Source organism: Homo sapiens, chromosome 13 (genome assembly GCF_000001405.40).
Source record: "Homo sapiens chromosome 13, GRCh38.p14 Primary Assembly".
NCBI classification, from domain to species: Eukaryota; Metazoa; Chordata; class Mammalia; order Primates; family Hominidae; genus Homo; species Homo sapiens.
Window position 1 is genome coordinate 49,447,142 of NC_000013.11, and position 22,821 is coordinate 49,469,962.

Consider the following 22,821-nt stretch of genomic DNA (forward strand, 5'->3'; position numbering starts at 1 on the left):
AATTTATATGCATTTCTATAGTTTTTTAAAAACATGTTTAAGTTCTTTATGTGTCCTCGATACTGTATTTTTAGAAGTCTCTTTGGTGTGTATGGTTAATTATGCCTCCTTTTTGTTGCTATTGTTAAAATATGTTAAAAACATTTTCTCTTAGCTTCTTGCTTGGCTTTTGACTTTTTGTTAACTTATTTGTTCTACAGATGGATTTTCCTCTGCCAATCTTTAGGCCTCTTTTTATCTTACTGAATTTCTCTAAGACTTCCAGTACAGTATTGAATAAAAACAGTGATAGCAACTGTCTTCATCTTGTGCCTAATAAAAATTCTCCGAATGTTTCATCATTGAGTATGATGTTTGCTGTCATTGAGTAGGATGTTTTGGTAGATAGCCTCGATCAGAATAAGAAAGTTCTCTTTTTTCCTAATTTGCTAAGGGGCCCCCCCACCTTCCATGGAATAATTTTATATTGAATTGTTTTGTTTTTCTGCATGAAGTGATAGTTTTCCTCCCTTTGCCTGTTAATATAAGCATTCACATTGATAAACTTTTCATGTTAAACTTTTTAGGTATTCTTGGGATAAACTATTTTGGTAATACATTCTTATTCTACTGCTGGATACCTTTATTCAGTATTTTTGTGTCTAAGACCCAGTAGTGATTTGGGCCTTGAGTTTTTTTCTTGCATGTCAAGGTTATACTTATCTCATAAAAAAAAGTTGAGTAGCTTCCCATATTTTTCCTGCTTCAGAACAGTTTGTATATGATAAAAATTAGCCGTTCTCTGAAAGTTTTGTACAATTCATCTGTAAAAGTTTATGGACCTAGTGTACTAGCAGTGAAAAAAATTTCATATCTCATAAAAAAAAATTGAGTAACTGCTTAAGAAAAAGTTGAGTAGCTTCCCATATTTTTCCTGCTTCAGAACAGGTTTGTGTTTGATAAAAATTATCTATTCTTTGAAAGTTTTGTACAATTCATCTGTAAAACTTAATGGACCTAGTGAACTAGCAGTGAGGGGTGGGGATGTGTGGCACACATCTCTAGTAATATCTTCAGTGTTTTGAGCCTATTTGGTAATTTATATTTTCCTAGAAAATTGTTCAGTTCGTCTGTGCTCAGGTTCATTGACATAAAACTGTCTGAATTTTAAAATGTTTAAAATCTCTTCAGTAGCTAGAGATCTATCTTCATTTGTTATTATTTATTTTGTTGCTTTTTTCCCAGCTTCTTTAATTGAATGTTTAAGTCAATATTTTCATTTTGCTAATAAAATTTATTTAAGGCCTAAATATCTCTTGGCATGCTGCTTTGGCAAAATCCTTCAGGCTTTGAAATGTATTACTTCAACCGATCACCATTTCTAAATGTTCTTAAATTTCTCCTTTGATTTCTTCTGTAAACCATATACATTATTTGGGAAATTTGATTTTTTAATTTCCGCAGGTAGTATGGGGTGGGGGGTTGATTTACTACATTCAGTGACTATGCTCTGTGTAAACAGTCTTTTGGAATTTGTTGATAATTCCTTTTGGTCTCATAATAGTTTTTGTAAATTTCATGCTTTTCCTCCCACAAGAAGTATTTTCTGTTGGGTGCAGGGTTCTATATATTTTTTGGATTAAGCTTGTTAATTTGTCATTTAAATCCTTTATACTCTGGTTTTTTACCCACTTTATCTCAGTTCCTTAGATTTGTTACTTCATCACCAAATTGTGGATCTGTGCATTTTCCTTTTAATTTTGCTTTATATATTTCAGAGTGATGTTATTTGTACATAAAGGGTCATGAATATTAAATCTGGTGAATTGTTCTGTCAGCATAAAATATTTGTGTCTTTTATTGATTTTCATATTCAACTCTTATTTGATACGTTTCTTCTTATAATTGCAGATGTCTTTTTCCAGTCTCTTCGTTTTCAGCCTTGCTGTGACATTTTGTGTAATTTAAGTGGGTCTCTTATTTTAAAATATCATATCTGGGTTTTGCTTGCCATCCAATCTGAGAGTCTGCCCTTTAATAGGTAATTCACCTTTATTGTGATTATTGACATATTTTGGCCTTATTCTTGTCATTATTTAACAAGCTTCTCTTTGTATCTTTTATATCTTATTTTTCCACCTGTTTTTTGGAACAGAGTCTTGCTCTGTTGCCCAGGCTGGAGTACAGTGGCGTGATCTCGGCTCACTGCAACCTCTGCCTCCCAGGTTCAAGCAATTTTCCTCCCTCAGCCTCCCAAGTAGCCCAGATTACAGGTACACACCACCACACCCAGCTAATTTTTGTATTTTTGGTAGAGATGGGATTTCGCCATGTTGGCCAGGCTGGTCTTGAACTCCTGACCTCAGGTGATCCACCCACCTCAGCCTCCCAAAGCGCTGGCATCACTTTTATTTTTAATTGAGGTTAGCCCCAAGTTTTCTTTGTTCATTTTTTTTTAAGTTGATTAACTTTACATTTCACAGTTCTTAAATTTATGTTTTCTTAACAAAGTGTACATTTAGTCAGTTTTGATAAGGCCCCTGTAAAGAAGAAGTTAGCATGCTTCTACTTTGCTTTCTCTCATCTTGAAACAATCCCTTCCATCTCTCCTCCAGAAAAGAACATAATCTCTCATGATATCTTTAAGAATTTTTCTTTCATTTGTTATTAAATTCAGTTTACATTTAACATTAATGTGTTTTACTCATTTATTTGCTCACTATTGCTACGTATACCTCAGTGCTTTCTTATAGGTTCATTTTTCATCATCAGATACTTATTTCTTTCACAGTCTCTGAGTGACTCTTTGAATGTCTGCAAATGTCTTTTTTTCATCTTTAGTATGGAAAGATAGCTTGGCTGGATATAGAGTTCTGGGTTCATACTGACTTTGCTTTAACATTTTGCATCTGACATTTCTGATGAGAAATCTCATTACTAGTCTAATACACCTTCCTTTTAGATAATCTACATTTTTCTGGAAACATCTAAGACTTTGTGTTTTTGATATTCTGAAGTTAGTCACGGTTTGTCTAGCGATGTGTGTTAAGAATTTTATCCTGGTTGGTACTCAGTGGATTCAGTTTGCTTATGTGTTTTCCAGTTCTGAGAAATTCTTGCTCATTATTGCCTCCTCTCCATTTTCTCAATTTTTTGCCTCCTCTTGTTTCCTTGCTCTGTGTTCTTGGTGAATTACTCAACTCAGTCTTCCAGCTTACTAACTGGCTCTTCATGTTAGTCTGTTCTGTCATTCAGTCATCTATTGAGTTTATTTCAACAACTGTTTTTATATCCAAGATAGCTAACTGGCTTTTTTTCAAAATTGTGTGTTATTTCATGGATGAGATTTCCTTCTTTAGCTCAGTCTCTTTCATAGTGTAGCCTTCTTCAGATATTTGAGGACTCTCAGTTGTGCATTAATCTCCTCTGAGAGGATTCCTGCCCATCGTTTTGCTGTTGTGATTGTGGTTGCCATCATCTCTATAGCTTCCCATCTGTTTCCTTTCCCCAGAAGGGCCTTACTGACTTGGCCCTTAGAGAGTTCCCTTTTTGTTTTCAGCATGGCTATATATATATATTTTAAATCTCCTAACATTTCCATGGTTTGGTGTGGAAGTGGCAGAAGAATTTACAGTATCTTGACTAACATCTTGAGAATTAAAATTGTTGATCTATTTTTGACCTATTATTCTACCTCCAGATATGTTATCCTAGGGAAATTGCCAGAGATATGTATAAAGTATATTTATTTTAGCATTATTTATTATACTAAAAATTAATCTATAAAGGAAAACAATCTAAATATCGAATATAGAGGTTTATATTATTAATTAATATTTTTATTAAAATTTAATTATTAAAATATTTAATGTACTATAATGTATGCGTTATTGACCAAAGTATGTTATACAGCCAGTTGTATTATACAAAAATATTAGTGATGGAGGAAAATGCAGGAAATGTTTTTAATGAAAGATTATAAAAAATTAAATATACTACAATCCAAATTTTTGTTTTAAAACTACATTCTGAAAGAATAACAATAATTGGTAGTATTCCTTGAATCTTTCGTATGTCAGGCACATTATATGTAATTAAGTCTTGTCCTCAGAACAACCTGTGAGATAGTTAGTATTATCCCCTTTTTAAAAGGTTTATAAAAGACTTATAAAATGGAGATAGTAATATAAATACAAATATATTAAATATGGGTGATAGGATTGGGTGGGCCTTCTCTATTATTTCTAATTTTGATACTTTACATATTTTTTCCAGATAACATAATGTTTTTTTGTAATGGTTCATGCTGTTTTAAAAGATCAAGCTGTTATAACAATATCTTATTTCCTTATATATACATATATATATATATATATATATATATATGTGGTCCTTTACAAATATGCACTATTCTTTATTGTTTTCCTTACAGAATGTTTCATCCATTTGTGGACCAAAAGATGGAGTTGGTTTTTATTTTTAAAAAGATAATGTTAATGATCTGATACCACTACAAATATTTACGTGAGAAGATTCATGGACTTGTCTTTTGGTTGGACTGTCACTCATTTCTGAAAGTTTCTTCAGCCACAATTTCTATTTGAAAATTCAAGTATCAAAGGATACCAGGTTTAGAATGGTATAATGATGTATTTTGTCTGAGGACTGCAAATTTTATAGAGACCACAGTTGGATTCCAGTGATATTCTGCAATCAAAGTGATTTGATAAACCTAATTTTGAAGCATTTTATATTTATAAGCGACATCAAAAGATGGGAGAAAAAAATGGTAGGTTGAAGAACACACTGTTACACTTTATATCTAAAAGTATAAAAGTATATAGACAATGTAAGCTGATGTGGAATTGTCAAGGTTTTGCATTGCGAGGAACTTTTCTGAATTAGAGGGAATTAAGGGTTTATTCTTGTATAGCCACCAATTTTGACTGTCTTTATCATTAGTTGTGAAAAAATTGACTTTTTTGTAAACTTTTTTTTTTTTCTTTTTTTTTGGTGATGGAGTCTCTGTCGCCCAGGCTGTAGTGCAGTAGCACAATCTTGGCTCACTGCAACCTCTGCCTCCTGGGATCAAGCGATTCTCCTGCCACAGCCTCCTGAGTAGCTGGGATTACAGGCATGTGCCACCATGCCCAGCTAATTTTTTGTATTTTTAGTAGAGATGGGGTTTCACCATGTTGGTCAGGCTGGTCTCAAACTCCTGACCTCATGATCTGTCCACCTTGGCCTCCCAAAGTGCTAGGATTACAGCACTTGCACCTGGCCAAAATAGGTGAGCCACTGCACCTGGCCAAAATACTTTTAGTGTTACAGAAAAATTGAGAGGATTGCAGAGTTCCAGTAAACCTGGTACTTAGCTTTATCTATGATTAACATTTTACATTTGGATGCTACATTTGTTACAATTAATGAACCAATATTGGCACATTATTATTAACTGAAGTCCATAGTATATTCACGTTAGTTTTTACCTGATGTCTTTTTCCATTCCAAGATCCCATCCAGGACACCACATTCCATTTACTTGTCATGTCTGCTTAGGCTCCTCCTAGCTGTGATAGTTTCTGAGACTTTTCTTGTTTTTTATTTTTTTGGGATTTTGTATCCAAATATTTTGTAAGATGCCCCTCTGTTGGAATTATTGTCTGATGTTTTTCCATAATTTGACTGGAGCGATGGGTTTTGGGGAGTGTGATCTCAGAGGTAAAATGTCATTTTCATCACATCATATCAAGGGTACATGCTGTCAGCATGATTTCTCAGAGTTGATATTGAACTTGATCAACAGAGCTTGAGCTGGCTAATGTAGGTGGTGGTATCAAATTTCTCCACTGTAAAGTTACTCTTTTTCTCCCATTCCCTGCTATACTCTTCGGAAATAAATCACTATAGGTAGCCCACAGTTAAGGAGTGGGGATTTATGCTCCCCCTCCTTAAATGTGGAATATCTACGTTAATTATATTTGGAATATTTCTGCAGGGGAGATTTATCTCTCTCTCTTCTTCCCTGTTTATTTATTCAGTTAATCATTTATATCAGCATGGACTCATGGCTATTTATTTTATACTTTTTGAGTTACAAGCCAGTACTACTTTATTTATTTTGTTTTTCAAATTGTCCCGGGTTTGGCTATTGGGAGCTCTTTCAGTTGGCTCTTTTTTTTCTTTTTTTTTTTAAGATGGCGTCTCACTCTGTTGCCCAGGTTCATGTGCAGCAGCGCAATCTTGGCTCACTGCAACCTCTGCCTCCTGGGTTCAAGCAATTCTCTTGCCTCAGCCTCCTGAGTAGCTAGGATTACAGGTGTGTGCCGCCACGCCCAGCTAATTTTTGTATTTTTAGTAGAGATGGGGGTTTCACCATATTGGCCAGGCTGGTCTCGAACTCCTGACCTCAAGTGATCCACCCGCCTTAGCCTCCCAAAGCGCTGGGATTACAGGCATGAACCACCATGTCCTGCTCAGTTGGCTCTTGTGTCCCTTTGATATACCGTCATCAGTGTAGGTATTTTTTATTTGTCTTTGTTTTATAGCACTTCCCTTTTGGCACTCGAAGATTGCTCTAGATTGCTCTCGTATATTTCTTACGCATCTTAGAGTGAGCCATTTCTTGAATAACCTGTCAATATTTTTATTGGAAAATGGTATTAGAAACCAAGGTCTGAATGATAGGTGTATTTGTTGTTACTGGAGTGTCCTTGTTTATAGGCCCTTTCAGCTGGCAGAGCAATGAAGTATATATATATATACTAACTTATATATACACAACTCATGGCTATAAATATTTCTATATGTAACTGTTTGTATCTGCCTTAAGCTAACCATGAAATTACGCTGATGTTTCCAACTCTAATCTATTACCACGTGGATCATTTTAGTCTCCTCACCTTATCTGTATGCTCCCACTCCAGTAGTAAAAAACTTAGTTCCCATCACCCACCATCCATTTACTTAATTGTTCAATTCCAGTATATATATGTAGCAGTATCAGAATTGTTAACCCTTGACTGGGCACCGTGGCTTATACCTATAATCCCAGCACTTTGAAAGGCCGAGGCCAGGAGTTAGACCAGCCTGGTAAACATGGCAAAATCCTGTCTCTACTTAAAAAAAAATAATAATAGTAATACAAAGTGGCACACGCCTATATGTAATCCCAGCTATTCCAGAGGCTGGGGCATGATAATTGCTTGAACCCAGGAGGCAGATGTTGCAGTGAGCTGAGATTGTGCCACTGTATTGCAGCCTGGGTGACAAAGCAAGACTATCTCAAAATAAATAAATAAATAAAAATAGAATTTTAACCCATCCCCAGGTAGGAAAATACTTTATCAACTAGAGTACAGTAAGTAAGTAAGTATATGCAGTTACTTTTGCCTTTATTTTTACAGACTCCACTCATTTCCAAAGTTACTTAGGTCAGTACCTTTTCCACCCAGCCCTTGGTGAAGTTGTTTATACATTTGTAATACAGTTAGATTCTCTTCATAGTCTGCATTCCTTACTGAGATCCCTGACGTCCTAAATGATTTTTAAAATTTGCATACGTTATTAGTTCATTGTTTACTCTTTAAATTCTGTGGGTTTTTACAACTGCATAATGTCATGCATCTATAATTATAGTATCATACACAATAGTTTCGGTGCCTTTAACATAGTTGTAATGTATGGATTGTTATACAGATCATAGTACTGATTTCACCAGGCTGTGATCTAAGCCAGTGGTTCTCAATTTTTTTTTTGGTCTCAGGATGACTTTATACTCTTTAGAGTATTTAAAACCGCAAAGAGCTTTTGTTTATGTGGGTAACATCTGTTGATACTTACTGTAATAGAAATTGAAACTAAGAAGTTTCAAAAAATATTAATTGGCTTATTTTTAAGAAAATAATAAATCCAACATGTTGAAAATATAAATAGAAACTATTTTCTAAAGCAAAAATATTAGTGAGAAGGATAACATTGTCTTACCTTGTTAGAAATATCTTTAATAACTGGCTTATTAGATTCTTATATCTGCTTCTACATTCAGTCTTCTGTGTTATATTACTTTGGTTGAACTGAATAAAAGACAAGCTTCACACAGACAGGAAGCTGAAGAAGGAAGAGTATTTCAATAGCCTTTCATCTAATTGTGGATATTTTTCTTTGTTGACTCCAAAACTCAACAGGTAGTCATTCCTTAAAGGTTAGTTGGAGTGTGGAGTCTGACATATCATTGAGTATTTTTACAATGTTACATTAAAATCCATTGGTCTATCTTGCACTTTGAGTAGATCTTTTACCATGTATGATTTTACATGTATTGACCACTTGTAAAATATTGGCTCAGTGAATTATGCAGATCTTCCAAATGTTGACACATTTAATCATATAATTTTAAAATCACATTTGTTAATATAGCTACTGATCTCATTTTAAAAGTGGTTAACTCTTCAGAAACTTTCAGGTTTGCCATGGCAGATACAAGGTTTTCAAAATTCTCATTTTCATTCTGTAGCTTGAATTTTGTCATTAGCAAGAAATATTGTTAGTTTTGTCCTTCAAGTGATAGGCTCACTTTGCTCATATGCCAAACACTCAAGTCTGGAAAACTACAGTTTTATCAGTGGTTCTTTTAAGTAAAAATGGTTTTCATTTAAAAAAAAACAAAAAAAAACTAGATAGTTTAGTTTACAAGTTGAACAATCCCACTAGTATTTTTTCTTGAGACAGCCATTGTACTATAATGGCTGTACAAATGATTGTAATAACTTATGTTGTTTCATTAAAGGTGTACTTAGATGAAATTGGTGGTGAAGATCACAATAGTAAGTGAACTATCACTTACTGATAGTTTGATGCCACTAACTTGATTCATGCTAAGTCACTAGCAGTTTTACTCACCAGTGCCTTTGTACTATCAGTTGTCAATATAATAAAAACAGCAAATGTCCTAATATTATTTTTTAAATAGTTTGTCCTTGTGTATTCTCTGAAATGATTTGGGGAGTCCTAGGGGTCCACAGACCACATTTTGCTAATTACAGGTTCAAAGATACCTTAGAGTTCCTCTAGACCAATACCCTATAAGCCCCTTACTACATATGTTTCTGTGTACTGAGGTCATTATTAATGTATTTGGTAAGTATTTCATAAATACTTGGCTAGCAAATGAATTCAGATCAGTATTATTCATGAGCATTGTCTGTTTACAAAGACTGTCTAGAGTGAGATTGGTAGACATAGTATAACTATACCATGTACTTGGCGTCCTTCATTACAAGGCTGCTACACTTCTTGCCTCATGGTTATAGTCTTGCAATGAATAGTCATAACTGGCTAAATAAAAAAGAGAGTTTGAACAGATAATAAAGTTACCAGATGGTATTCTTCATTTCTGGGGGCAAATAGCAGCAATATTAGTATGCTGAATTGATCTTCAATTCAGGTACCTGCTCCAGTATTCCTTGTAAATATCTTCTAGTAAAATATACCGAAATATTTAGTTTTAGGTTATAATGCTGAGCATGCATACAATGCCGAAAGAAGTGAAGATCAGGAGCAAGAAACTAAAATTGTTTGTATTGTAGTAACTATGTCTACAGTCGAAACCAAAGTCTCCCAGATGTTTCTTGTGATACTCATTTAGTCTCCTTGTGCACAGAAGTTGTTAACTGGATCTATTAGTTTCATTTATCAGAAAGTTTGGTTACCTCTTTTCTTATTACTGTGGTTAAGGGCTTCCATAGCAAGAAGACAAAGAAAAATGATCAAGAAGGAAGACATGAGGAACAAGTGCCATTTTAATGAAAATTAAACCTAGCAATATGAGATAATAAGGAAGTCATAAGGAACAACATATTTATTTAAAACCCAGAACAAATAAATATGAATTGCTTAGTTACATTCATTTATTGTAGAAGCAGATTCAGTATTTTCTTTGATTGGCTTTGTGTTTTTAAATTATATTACCAGTGTCCTTTTTTTTTTCAAAATCATTTCCAAGATTGATCATTTACTCTGTTTACTTTTTAAATAACTCATTTTAAGTAGTTCCTACCAGAATAATTTAGTAGCATGTATTGGCATTTCTAAGACTTTTTTTTTTTTTTTGAAAGAGTCTCGCTCTGTGTTTTATTAATCGGTTCCAAGATTGAGCATTTACTCTGTTTACTTTTTAAATGACTCATTTTAAGTATTTCCTACCAGAATAATTTAGTAGCATGTGTTGGCATTTCTAAGACTTTTTTTTTTTAATAACTCATTTTAAGTATTTCCTACCAAATAATTTAGTAGCATGTATTGGCATTTCTAAGACTTTTTTTTTTTTTTTTTTGAAAGAGTCTTGCTCTGTTACCCAGGCTGGAGTGCAGTGGCGCAATCTCAACCCACTGTAACCTCCGCCTCCTAGGTTCAAGCAATTCTCATGCCTCAGCCTCCCGAGTAGCTGGGACCACATGCGTGTGCCACCACGCCCAGCTAACTTTTTTGTGTTTTTGGTAGAGATGGGGTTTCACCGTGTTGGCCAGGCATGTCTCAAACTCCTGGCCTCAAGTGATCTGCCTGCCTCAGCCTCCCATGAGGTGTGGTGGCACCACACCTAGCCTCTAAAACAATTTTAAATGATAAAAAAAACAAAAATTCATTGAGTCTTGATTGTTGTCTTTCAGCATCACAGCTTTTTTTTCCTCAGTCCAGGACAAAATTTTATGTGATTCCAGAATACTTTAATGTTACCAAAAGCTATTTTTAAATACTTCCAAAATACTTGAAAATACTTCAAAATACATCTCAATGTCCACCTCTAATAAAGATAAATCCCTAGTAAGAGGTATTGACTCATATCTGTGAAGGGAAACTTAACAATAATCTATGAAGTGCTTTGAAAAATAATTTTGCCTAAAAGTGGTTTTTGTTGATTATCAGTGAAAAACCTAATGATTTCAGGCACCCTGAGAAAGCCCTGCTTCACAAAATATTTTCCTCATTAAGCTGATTGTTCTCTAAAATTCCACAGTGAAAGATGAATTCCTTTTGTTCACTGCAGCCTCGAACTCCTGGGCTCAAGCAATCCTCTCGCCTCAGCCTCCTGAGTAGCTCGGACTACAGGCATGTACCACCTCGCCTGGCTGATTTTTTTGTAGAGAGGAGGTCTTGCTATGTTACCCAGGCTGGTCTTGAACTTGGCCTCAAGTGATTCTCCTGTCTCGGTCTCCTAAAGTGCTGGGATTACAGGCCTGAGATACTGTGCCCAGTTTGTTATTTCCATTTTATAGATGTGGTCACACAGTTAATAAATGGGTCAGAACTAGTATTCAAACCCAACTACACTTGAACTCCAAAGCCTAGGTTGTTAATCACCACTCTTTTTCTTTCCTTGGCTTCTGAGATACTACTCTCCTGGGTTTCTCTTCCACCTCAGTCTCTATAGTTCCTTTTCCTTGTATTGTTGATGTTCTACATAAGACCCTTCTTATTCTGTATGTTCTCCCTATGGAATTACATCTACTCTATGGCATCAGCAAGTATTTGTACGTTAATGACTCCAATTTGTATTTCTGAACCAGATCTTACTCTAGAGCCTATGCATCCAGTTTGTTCGGAGAGCCTCTTACTACTTGAATTTGCCACCTGTCCCTCTACCTTTATTCATACCTTAATGAATAGCATTATTGTCCATATGATTGCCTGAGGCAAAAAAGTGGAGATCATTCATGACTCCTCCCACTGCTACCTGAGTGATCTTTCTGGAAAACATAACTAATCACATCATAAGATCCTTATACCTCTTGGGTAGCTTTCCATATAAAAGGTGCTTAGCATGGCACATAGGGCCTTCGATGTCATGCCCTACCTGCCTTTTAAGCACCAGTTCTCATCCATTTTGTCCTCTTACATTGCTCTTGTTTAAAATCTTGAAATTTTGTTTGAGCTGTGCTATGGGGAATTAAAAGTAAGCTTAGTCTTACATAGTATACATCAGTCCAGAGTATTAGTAGTAAAACAACACCCCTCCAGAGGCCACTATGTTGGCAGCAGCACTAACTAGCCAGAAGTCCCCTTTGGGAAAGGTGACTTTCCCAGCAGGAATTGAGACTTTGATACCTAAGCCCCTTATGCAGATTCTCCCTTCTTTGCCAAACTTGGAGGTTCTGGGTTTAATTTGTGTTAGGGAAAATGTATTTTTTGTAAGCCATCTGGACTGTCTACTCATTAATCCTCCCTGTGCCTACTCCAGTGACCTTTCTAAAATGCAATTATTACGATGTCTTTCCTTTGCTTATAGGCCCTATTAGTTAATTTTAAATAATTTTATACATTGTAACATTGTATAAATATGCTTAGCATTTTAGGTATTTTTGTTACTTTTAAACGCGAAGTGAGATTTAGCTTTTGACAACTTATAATTGTTTTTCTTATATTTTCAATTTTGAAAGGATTGTTTCTTTAGGAAAATTTTGAAGTATTAGCTTACTGGGCATCAGAAATGTTGGCTCATTTATGTAACTTTCTCTGTACAACTTTAAACATTAATTTGCTTCATGCAATTAAACATATAGAAGACTTTTTTAAAAAGCAGTATTGTTGGACATTTAGTTATTTCAGCAGCCATTGAGTTGTCTCATTCTGAAACCACACTCGGTGGAGATTATACCACTGAGACTTTTTAAAGTGCATGTATAATCTATACATATACCCCACAACCACTCTCCAGTGAAGTCTTCCTTCTGTTTTCTAGTCAAGAAAGTGTCACTAAAATTTTCAATATATATTTTAAAAATTAACAGAAATGGGTAAGATACTTAGATCATATTGTTTCTAGCTCTTTGTAAGGAAACATTACTAAAATATTTTCCTCAAGGAAAATGATAGACCAGATGAGTCTTGATCTTGTTTAGAAACCAAGTAGATTGTTCTATAACATGTTCTTAGATAAATTATAGTATTTTTCTATTAGCTCTTAGGCTAGTCACTTATTTTTATTTTAGGCGATGCAAAAACTTTCTGGATGGAGCTAGAAGATGATGGAAAAGTGGACTTCATTTTTGAACAAGTACAAAATGTGCTGCAGTCACTGAAACAAAAGATCAAAGATGGGTCTGCCACCAATAAAGGTATGAAGCAATAAAAACTTTGAATATGTTTAATACTAAATATTTCTCTCTGACAGTACAGTATCATTCTATTTCCAATATTGCTGTTTGTAAAAGTAGATGGATGTAATTACTTTTGAATAATACCTACTGAATTTCTTTTTATCTCAAGCTACTTTTTTCCCTCATTTATCTTTTTTTTTAGGGGAATGTTGCAAAAGTAACATCTGCTCATTATATAACATTTGGCACTTATAGAAAAATATAACAAGGAAAAATTATTCCACATTCAGAGACAACTAGTTTTTTCATATGTATGTGTAAAAGTACATATAACTTTATTTTGCCTGCTTTAAACAGAACTTACTCTACCAGTCTTCTGAAAGCAAAATTTGTGTTCTACATAGGCAGTTAGTTCAGTAATCCAAGTTTTTATTTTTTCTATTTGTTTGTTGTCAACCCTGGTTGGTTGTAGAACGTAAGACTTGAAGATGAAATCCTCCTTCAATCCATCAGGACATACGGTTTTGAAGCAAATTTTTCTCCAGATTATTTTTAGTACTTTCTGGATGGTCTTATGACATTATTATTATGTGTTTATCAAAAAAAATTGGCACTGTTTTTCATTTTAATCTTCCTTGTCAATCCTTCATGAGTCAGATAAATCTAGATTCTAATCCAGTTGTACTACTTCTTAGCTGAATGTCCTGGAATAAATAGCTTAACCTCTGAGCCTCAGTTTCTTTTGTCTCTAATGCAGATAGTCCTATTAACCTCTCAGAGGAATAGTGAAGATTAAATGAGATAAAATATGTAAATTGTTTAGCACAGTAGCTGGCACCATAAATAAAGGTAATGGTGATGCTGTTTTTCTGTCTTTAACAGAATACATCCAAGCAATGATTCTAGTGAATGAAGCAACTATAATTAACAGTTCAACATCAATAAAGGGTATGTACATCTCTATTCCCATTGTAGAGTATTCTCTGATATTTTCTTGCCATGAAGCAGGATAGCTTTAATATGTTGGGCTAATTAAAGATAATTTAAAATAAAATCTAACATCCACATTTCTAAGTTACATAAATCACAGTTTCCTCTGTTAAATGAAAAGTCCTACCCATCTAGAGATAGTAAATGCACATCCAACTAAGCAGCCTAGGGAAAGAATTAACAAATGTGTGTCGTCTTTGGGGGAAAAAAAGACTTTCTTATATAAAGAGGGCAAATAGAATTCTAACTTTAAAACACTATATATCCGCTTTCTGTGAAGAACAATACTTGAAAGATATATTCTTGTATAGATAAGTTGGTGGGTAAATCTTTTATTTCTAGATTGCTTTTAGACCATCAGTCTTCCAAGCTCTAAATCAGCTTAGAAGGATCAAAGATAATGTACTAAAGAAAAACTGTTTCTCTTCTCACAAAGCTTCTGACACCAAATGTGGGTTTTCCATGCCATGCAATTCTCCAGTATTCTGTGGACACCAATGGATGTTGTATTCTAAAATTTAATTCAGTTCTGACACTACTACCCAGAGTTAGCACAGATCCCACAGATTAAGGGCTCATTCCCACCAACTTGCTCCCACTTCAGACACTGGTCACAATGCCTGGGCCTCCTGTACTTCTGACTGACTGCTACAAATTAGAGGTTCCCACAACCCCCTCCTCAGATTCCATGATTTGCTATAATGGCTTATAGAACTCACAGAAGTATTTACTATTACCAGTTTATTATAAAGGATATTATAAAGGATACAAATGAATAGCCAGATGAAGAGGTACAAAGGGCAAAGTTGGGAAGGGCCTGAGAACAGGAGCTTCTGTCCCTGTGGAGTTTTGGGGTGTACCACCCTCCCAGTATGTAGATACATTCACCAGTCTGAAAGCTCTCTGAACCCTGTTGTTCAGGGGTTTTGTGGAGGTCTCATTACATAGGCATGATTCAGTCATCAGCCCATTGGTGATTTGCTTAATCTGCCTCTTTCTCTTCCCTGGATATGGGGGTGGAAAGAGTAGGGATGAAAGTGCGAACTCATTAACCATGCCTTTGTCAGAAGTGCCTTGGTCTTTCTGACAACCAGCCCCCATTCTGAAGCTGTCTAGGGATAGCTCACCTCTCAACAGTCATCTCATTAGCATACAAAAGACACTCTTATCACTACTGGAGATTCCAAGGGTCTCAGAAGTTCTTATGTCAGGAACTGGGGATTAAGACAAATATTATAACAGAAGGTGCTCCTCTCATACCTGTTACTTGAAATTAGAAGGGTTTTAGGAATTAGGTCAGGAGCCAGGGCAGAAACCAAATATGTATTTCTTATGATGTTACATGTACTAAGACTTTAAAAAGAAAAACTGAGAAGTTATTTTAACAGGATCAATCACCATTCCATAAATCTTAGTCTGTCACATTTGCTGAAGTTTTAAGGAAGTACAATATTTACTAGGTTTGTATTAATGCTGTTAGATGTTGTCAATAAATGTCAATAATTTTTGTCTTTTATAATTTGGAGCCTTAAGGCTTTTAAATCTCTGAAAATATAGTCTAGCATCACCAGTCTATTTTAAGTAAACCATTTGGTATTCAAAGTATCCTCAATTTCAGTGCTACAGTATAGCTTTAGAAGAGTAGTTTCTTGAAGAAAACAGTCTTCCTTTCACAGTATCCTTCAGTAACACTCGGAATTGTAGGGGAGGAAAAATTTTATCTCAGTGGCTGGGGGATGAGGGCTGTAACAAAAGATAGAAGACAGGTTAACAGGAGAAGAGACATAAACAAATGTGTTAATTTTTTTTTCTTTTTCTTGAGACGAAATCTTGCTCTCTCTCCCAGGCTGGAGTACAGTGGTGGTATCTCAGCTCACTGCAACCTCCCCCTCCCAGGTTCAAGCAATTCTCCTGCCCCAGCCTCCCGAGTAGCTGGGACTACGGGCGCATGCCGCCACACCCGGTGATTTTTTTTTTTTGTATTTTAGTAGAGAGAGGGTTTCACCATGTTGCCCAGACTGGTCACGAACTCCTGAGCTCAGGCAAACTGCCTGCCTCGGCCTCCCAAAGTGCTGGGATTACAGGCGTGAGCCACCGCGCCTGGTCAACTTTTAATTTTATATGCACAAGTGTTGCGGGAATTAGGAGGACCAGAGAGACCTTCGGGTGAATACAGGAGGATCTTTATTGAGTGCACTCAGACCCAGCAGACTTAACATCCAAAAACTTGGCCCAGAACAAAGACAGCACTTGACTTTTATACACAAGGGGGTGGGCTAGCCTGAAACAAGCTTACAGTGGCATGAAGCGTAGTGGCATGAAAGGGTACAGAGGCAGAACAAAGACAGTTAATCAAATTGTGACAGGTTCATAACTCAGCATTACACGTTTGCTATGCAGCCCAGATGTCTGTTATCTAGGTTTTTCTCTAGTGCCTAGCACAGCTTATTCCATGACCTTCACTGTGGTGCCCAGGTGGCCATAATTCAGGCCTGCTCAGATGGCTCATGACCTTCACTCCACCACTGCTTAGATAAAACAGAATACTTGAAGTTACTAGTTACAGAGAACAGGAATCTATACACTCATACCATAAGAGAAAGGAAAATTTGTTTTTCTCCTCTCTATGTTGAGGGAGTGCTGGGAGAGTCCCAGAGCACATTCCTTTGTGTCCTGGCTTCTTAGATAGTATTAACAAGACTTTTTCTGGGTCTGGGCTGTGCCTATTGCTGCCTCTGGGATAAGTCATCCTAATACAGGAAAGCTTATTTCTCTTTTTAATTTTATTTTTCTTTCTTTAATTCCCTGCCTCACAGGAGCATCACAGAAAGAAGTGAATGCCCAAAGCAGTGGTGAGATTTGAGAGCACATTATACCACCCTAATAGGTGAAAGGGAGGAGCAGAGGGGCACTTCTGGAAGAACACATGACTTCAAAGATAAATGGGTCCTATGAGAATAAGTGAAAGATTTGTAACAGTGTCTGTCTGAGTATAGTACTGACTTCCTCTGCTCTCCCTGATTAGATGAAATCATTCCTGGTTGATGAAACTTCTGGGAGGGGATTTATGACAATTGAGTTTCTTTTTGGGAGGATCGATTTTTAGACAGATAAGGGAACTCCAGAGACAACTTCTTCCTGTATTTGTTCATTCTCAGATGTCTTCAATTCAAAATAATCTTTATGTTACTATATCTCATCTGGACAATCCTTAAGGGATTATATTTAGTTTTGCAAGAGAGAGGCTTTTAACCTCACTTGTTACCAAGAAAAATGGTAACAACTAATTCTAAACATTTCTTTTCTTTCTGAAGAACCTTTTTTTCCGTAAAAAGTAAGTTGGTTTTTGTTTGGGGTCTTTTAAGGAAATAATTTTATCAATAGAAATGCCGAATATTATAATTTCATATTTTTATGTAGTTGGTCCATCTGAAATGTAACAAATGCATCAAGATAAGAGTATATTTATTTGCTAGCAGTGAAGTGTTTTTAAGTAAACAGTTGGGGAGAGTTATGTAACTGACACTGTTGGCAAATGTAAGGATTGAAAACCTTTGGTAATAAAGGTTCATGTGGGCTGAATACAGTGGCTCAGGCCTGTAATCCAAGCACTTTAGGAGGCTGAGGTGGGAGGATCACCTGAGCCCAGGAGTTTGAGACCAACCTGGGCAACACAGTGAGACCTCATCTCTACAGATAATAAAAAAAAAAATTAGTTGGCTGTGGTGGTGTGTGCCTGTGATTCCAGGTACTCAAGAGGCTGCAGTGGGAGGATCGCTCGAGCCCAGGAAATCAAGTCTGCAGTGAGCTGGGATCACACTACTGTACTCCAACCTTCCAGCCTAGGCAAGAGAGTGAGACCCTGTCTAAAAAAAAAAAAAAGTTTCACGCTAGCATTTATTTTAAAAAGAAGGTTGGGAATGAGAGAAACAAAAGAACTTTGTGTTGAGGTCAAAACAAGCTGTCCTGGATCCAACCTAGACTCCCCAGGCTGTCATCAAACCGCTAATTATGTTTATTTTTCTTGATGTTGTGTAACTCTCAGTATTTGCTCTGTCTCCATATGAAGGACTGGATAGTGTTTTCTTGAGAGAAATTATTTCCCTTTCCTCTTTTTTCTAATGACTAATGTTAAATCCTCATGTTTTTGAGTAAATCCTATTTCCAACTATGCTTGATATACATTTGTTTTGTTCATATTTGTTAATATAGATTTATATAACTCATGCAAATAAATTAGCTGGAGGAAAAGTCAGAAACTCTTATTATTTGTAAAATTAATTTCTAATCAGTTATAGCTGTGAACCAAAAATAATCAAAAGGGTCAGAATCTAATTTTTTTTTTTTTTGAGACGAAGTCTCACTCTTATCCCCCAGGCTGGAGTACAATGGCACGATCTTTGCTCACTACAACTTCCGCCTCCCGGGTTCAAGCGATTCTCCTGCCTCAGCCTCTCGAGTAGCTGGGATTATAGGCACCTGCCACCACACCTGGCTAATTTTTGTGTTTTTAGTGGAGACAGGGTTTCACTATGTTGGCCAGGATGGTCTCAAACTCCTAACCTCAGGTGATCCACCCGCCTTGGCCTCCCAAAGTGCTAGGATTACAGGTGTGAGCCACTGCGCCCCATCCAGAATCTAATTTAAAGAGAGTTTATTCAGGTGCAAAGTGTAAGGGTAGCCATCTGAGGACCAGTGCTACACCAAAGAATACTGATAAGTGCTTCTGGTGTGGGAGAAATGAGGATTATTTATATAGGCAAAACAGAGGTGTTGAACAGGATTACAGCATTTTTGTACAAAGGGTAACATACAGATATTTGATTGGCTACTGTTGATTACACTCTAAGTGGGTTGTCCAACATTCTGTTGTAAACAGGTAACAGTCACAAGGGTCTCTTTCTCCATATCATTTAGACTAGGTTTGAATAAAGAATAGGGAGTCTTGACTGGGCGTGGTGTCTCAGGCCTATAATCCCAGAACCTTGGAAGGCTGAGGTGGCAGGATCACTTGAGTCCAGGAGTTCAAGACCAGCCAGGCTTGAGGTAGAGATTCTACCTCTACAAAAGAATTTTAAAAATCAGTCAGGTGTGGAGTTGCACACCTGTAGTTCTAGCTACTCTGGAGGCTGAAGTGGAAGGGTAGCTTGAGCCTAGGAGTTCAAGGTCACAGTGAGCTTATGATCACATCAACGTACTCCAGCCTGGGTGACAGAGCAAGACCTTGTGTCTTTAAAAAAAAAAAAAAAATGTGGAGTCTAGTTAATGTGTAACATCTCAACACAGAAGTCAGAAAGCAATGGTCATGCACCAAAGAAAAAACAATCATGTTACATGAGTCCTCTTTCAGGGCTTAACTTTTCCCTTTGGCATAATAAATTTGGAAGGTCCTAAATTTTTATTTTCTTTTTACATAGCTCTCTTCAACTATCAGACTTTTATTTATTCATTTATTTTAGAGAGAGGGTCTTCCTCTGTCGCTCAGGCTGGAGTGCAGTGGTGCAAGTATAGCTCACTACAGCCTACGGTTCCTGGGCTTAAGCAGTGTTTCCACCTCAGTTCCTAAATAGCTAGAACTACAGGCATGCGCCACCATGCCTGGCTAACTTTTTTTTTTTTTTTTTTTTCTGTCGTAGAGACAGGGCCTTGTTCTGTTGCTCAGGGGGGCCTTAAACTCCTGGCCTCAAGTAATCTTCCCACTTTATCCTTCCAAAGTGATGGGATTACAGGGATGAACCTTGTGCTTGGCTCAGCTATCAGATTTTAAACCTTTCTTTACTTGGAAAATTAAAGACAGATATTTGTTTTTCAGTTAGCCAAGGAGCAACCTTGAAATACAATATCCTTTTATTAAACTTCTTTTGAGGGGGAAAGTAAGTTATAATTTTTTTATTAGAAAATAAATATACTGGGCCAGGCATGGTGGCTCATACCTGTAATCCCAGCCCTTTGGGAGGCCCAGGTGCACGGATCACTTGAGGTCAGGAGTTCGAGATCAGCCTGGCCAACATAAAATCCTGTCTCTACTAAAACTACAAAAATTAGCCCAGCATGGTTTTGCATGCCTGTAATCCCAACTACTGGAGAGGCTGCGGCAGGAGAATCGTTTGAACCTAGGAGGTAGAGGTTGCAGTGAGCCAAGATCATACCACTGCACTCCACCCTGGGCGACAGAGTGAATGAGACTCTGTCTCAAAAAAAAAGAAATGTGAACAACTAGATCAAAAGAGATACCCAGATACTTCATCCCCTCCCTAAAATAGTTGTAGAGCAATAGGAAAACAAAAGGTACATAAATTTTTCATTTTCTGACTTTTATAGAGCCTTTAAGAATTATGTGATTTCTCTATAAAATGCATGCAGAAGTAGGGATACTCAATGTCCACCTTAAAGATTGGTTAAGCTTCAAATCAAGTTCAGGCCAAACTAGAGTTTCTACAGTAGAAATCTTTTCTGTCCTCAGTATTTTATCCTAGTTTATTCATATTTTTGAAAATATTGACACTTAATCTTTTGCCTCAATCTTGAAACCTTACTATGTTTGCAAATTTTAGGGATCCATATGGGCAGACTCTAGTCAATGAACATATTACTTGGGTACTTATAGCAAATGGTTTTTAACTTGGTATATTTGTTGCTCACATTATTTTTTTGTGTAGATCCTATGCCTGTGACTCAGAAGGAACAGGAAAACAAATCCAATGCATTTCCCTCTACATCATGTGAAAACTCCTTTCCAGAAGACTGTACATTTCTGTATGTATATAAATTCTTTGTTATTAATGCTTTTGCTCCTACAGATTTCTTCTTTATAAATCACTTGACATTAGAATAGATGAAATATACAAAAAAATTTTTCCCATTAAAGCTTTAAAAGTTGTATATTTTAGTATTTTATGTAAGATAGAATTTCATGAGTCTCTGAATAGGTTATTGAATATTCCTAGTTAATCAAGTCTTTTTATAAAGTTTAGCTTAAGATGTCTTTGTGTATTTTATTAATACACTGAAATCTACCAAGTAGTGTGTTTTTGTTTTGTTTTGTTTTTTGTTTTACTGCTTAGATTATCTGGAGAATTTAAAAGTGTCAAAATGTTTCTTTCAGTATCAGTTGAGTTTTCAAAATGCGTAACAGCTCTTAAGTAGTGTCTAAAAGTTTATGGGAATAGACTAAATTTTTCTGACCTTCCCTTTCTCATTTTATCATTACTTTCCATAAAGATTCTTTGGCATAAAGGAGATGTGCGGAAGAGTGAATCTAGATACTCTGACACGTAGTCTTTATTTTTAGTAGGTAATACCTGGGCCTAACCCTTCAAGTACTAATTACAGGGAAGTTTCTGAAAGTTCTCTAGAGTAGAGAACATAGTTTCAAAAAACAAAGAAGTATCTTTAGAAAGAAACTTCTTTGTTACCCTAATTTCATTTGTTCTTTCAGCTTAATATTAAATTGACTAAGAAAAACTATATAATTATTTTTTTGATTTTCATGCCTGTGAGAGTTGTAGATAGACACTGTTTCATATAATTTGGATTTACAAATATTAGAGATGTCATTGCAGTTTGAGTGGGTCTCAAAAGGCCCATAAAATTACTTTAAAATGCTCACAGAGAAAGCTAAGTTCACACTTTAGCTCCTTAATTGGCCATTTCAGTGGCTCACAAAACATTTTTTTTTCTAGAAATTCTGACCTTTGAATATACAGTGTAAAATTTTGTAAGTTTTTAGGAACAAATTCACTCAGTCTAAATCTAAATTAAATTTTCATGTAAATTACCACCAAACAAGCTCTCTACCAAACAGTTATCTATATATTTAGATATTATATTTTAAACTTAAATGCAGGAGTGGTTTATTCCTGTGAAGTATCATTTTTTGCTTTAAGTTCATTATACCAGCTTATCAGAATCTTTTTGAATTTTGGAATATTTTTTGTCCCTTTTAGCTTATCATCTTGTACAAATAAATAAGCTTTCTAATCTTCATTATGGTCACTGAAAACAATATTGAACAGGACATGACCAAAGATAAAAACCTTGTGGCTGGCTCACTACTAGACATTCTTTTTATTACGCTTCAGAAAGAACGCTTTAAGCAACTGTGAATTTACTTCTACTGTTGTCCCGCCTACACTTCTCACTTACAAAGTGGTCATGAAAAATCAAGGTTCACTGCCATAGCATTCTGTGGCATTGCCAGACATTATTCAGACTTATTGAAAACGTTGTCAAAAAAGAAAATTCAGTTAATTTGGATTTTTCTCACCTACTTGTTAACTCAGCACCTAGTGTTGGTTGGCCTTTTAAATTCAAAATATTTAGAAGCCACACCCTTGATGCCTTCTTCTAGAGATTTTTAAGAGACCAGTGTTAAGCTAACCTTTCTATATTTTCTGTAGCCTGTCCTCCTTCCCTTTTTAAAAATCAGGGCAGCTAGAACTTGAGGATAAGTGGTCAAAGAAAAAATCAGGGCAGTATTATTTTATTTTTAATTTTTCTATATTTGAAGTTTTTTTTTCCAGACCTTGAGATTTAATTTGTAGAGTCTTCTATATGCTTAAATAAACTTGAGTTCTAGTACCCTCTCTTTAACTGTCACAGACTTCAGTTTCTTTTTATTTTTTTCCTCTTGTTTCCAACTTGAGAGCCATACTTAAAGATGGAAAAGACAAAGGCAGAATTGTTTTTGAGAAACTCTTCCTTCTCTTTGTTATCAGTTAACCTTATTTTTCTCCTAACAGATTATTTTCTTGTTCTA

The 22,821-nt window shown here is 35.8% G+C and overlaps 2 protein-coding genes across 12 annotated transcripts in view; both read left to right on the plus strand.

The window, feature by feature from the left end:
• Window positions 1-22,821, plus strand: part of SETDB2-PHF11 (SETDB2-PHF11 readthrough) — an 84,703-nt gene that overhangs the window by 2,868 nt on the left and 59,014 nt on the right. For both annotated transcript variants that reach the window (NR_135324.2, NM_001320727.2), the window contains exons 2-5: window positions 4,412-4,768; window positions 12,966-13,091; window positions 13,956-14,021; window positions 20,723-20,819. Coding sequence is in view for 1 of the 2 variants with exons in the window: in NM_001320727.2 (NP_001307656.1) it covers window positions 4,753-4,768; window positions 12,966-13,091; window positions 13,956-14,021; window positions 20,723-20,819 (305 nt within the window). In the remaining variant the exon portion in view is untranslated. The remainder of the gene's footprint in view (window positions 1-4,411; window positions 4,769-12,965; window positions 13,092-13,955; window positions 14,022-20,722; window positions 20,820-22,821) is intronic.
• The window catches only part of SETDB2 (SET domain bifurcated histone lysine methyltransferase 2), a 50,730-nt gene that overhangs the window by 2,868 nt on the left and 25,041 nt on the right, over window positions 1-22,821 (plus strand). For 4 of the 10 annotated variants that reach the window (NR_172062.1, NM_001160308.3, NM_001393976.1 and 1 more), the window contains exons 2-5: window positions 4,412-4,768; window positions 12,966-13,091; window positions 13,956-14,021; window positions 20,723-20,819. Coding sequence is in view for 9 of the 10 variants with exons in the window: in NM_001160308.3 (NP_001153780.1) it covers window positions 4,753-4,768; window positions 12,966-13,091; window positions 13,956-14,021; window positions 20,723-20,819 (305 nt within the window). In the remaining variant the exon portion in view is untranslated. Of the gene's footprint in view, window positions 1-4,411; window positions 4,769-12,965; window positions 13,092-13,955; window positions 14,022-16,879; window positions 16,916-20,722; window positions 20,820-22,821 lie in introns of all 10 variants that reach the window. The other 6 variants (NM_001393975.1, NM_001393978.1, NM_001393980.1 and 3 more) reach the window with 3 other exon arrangements.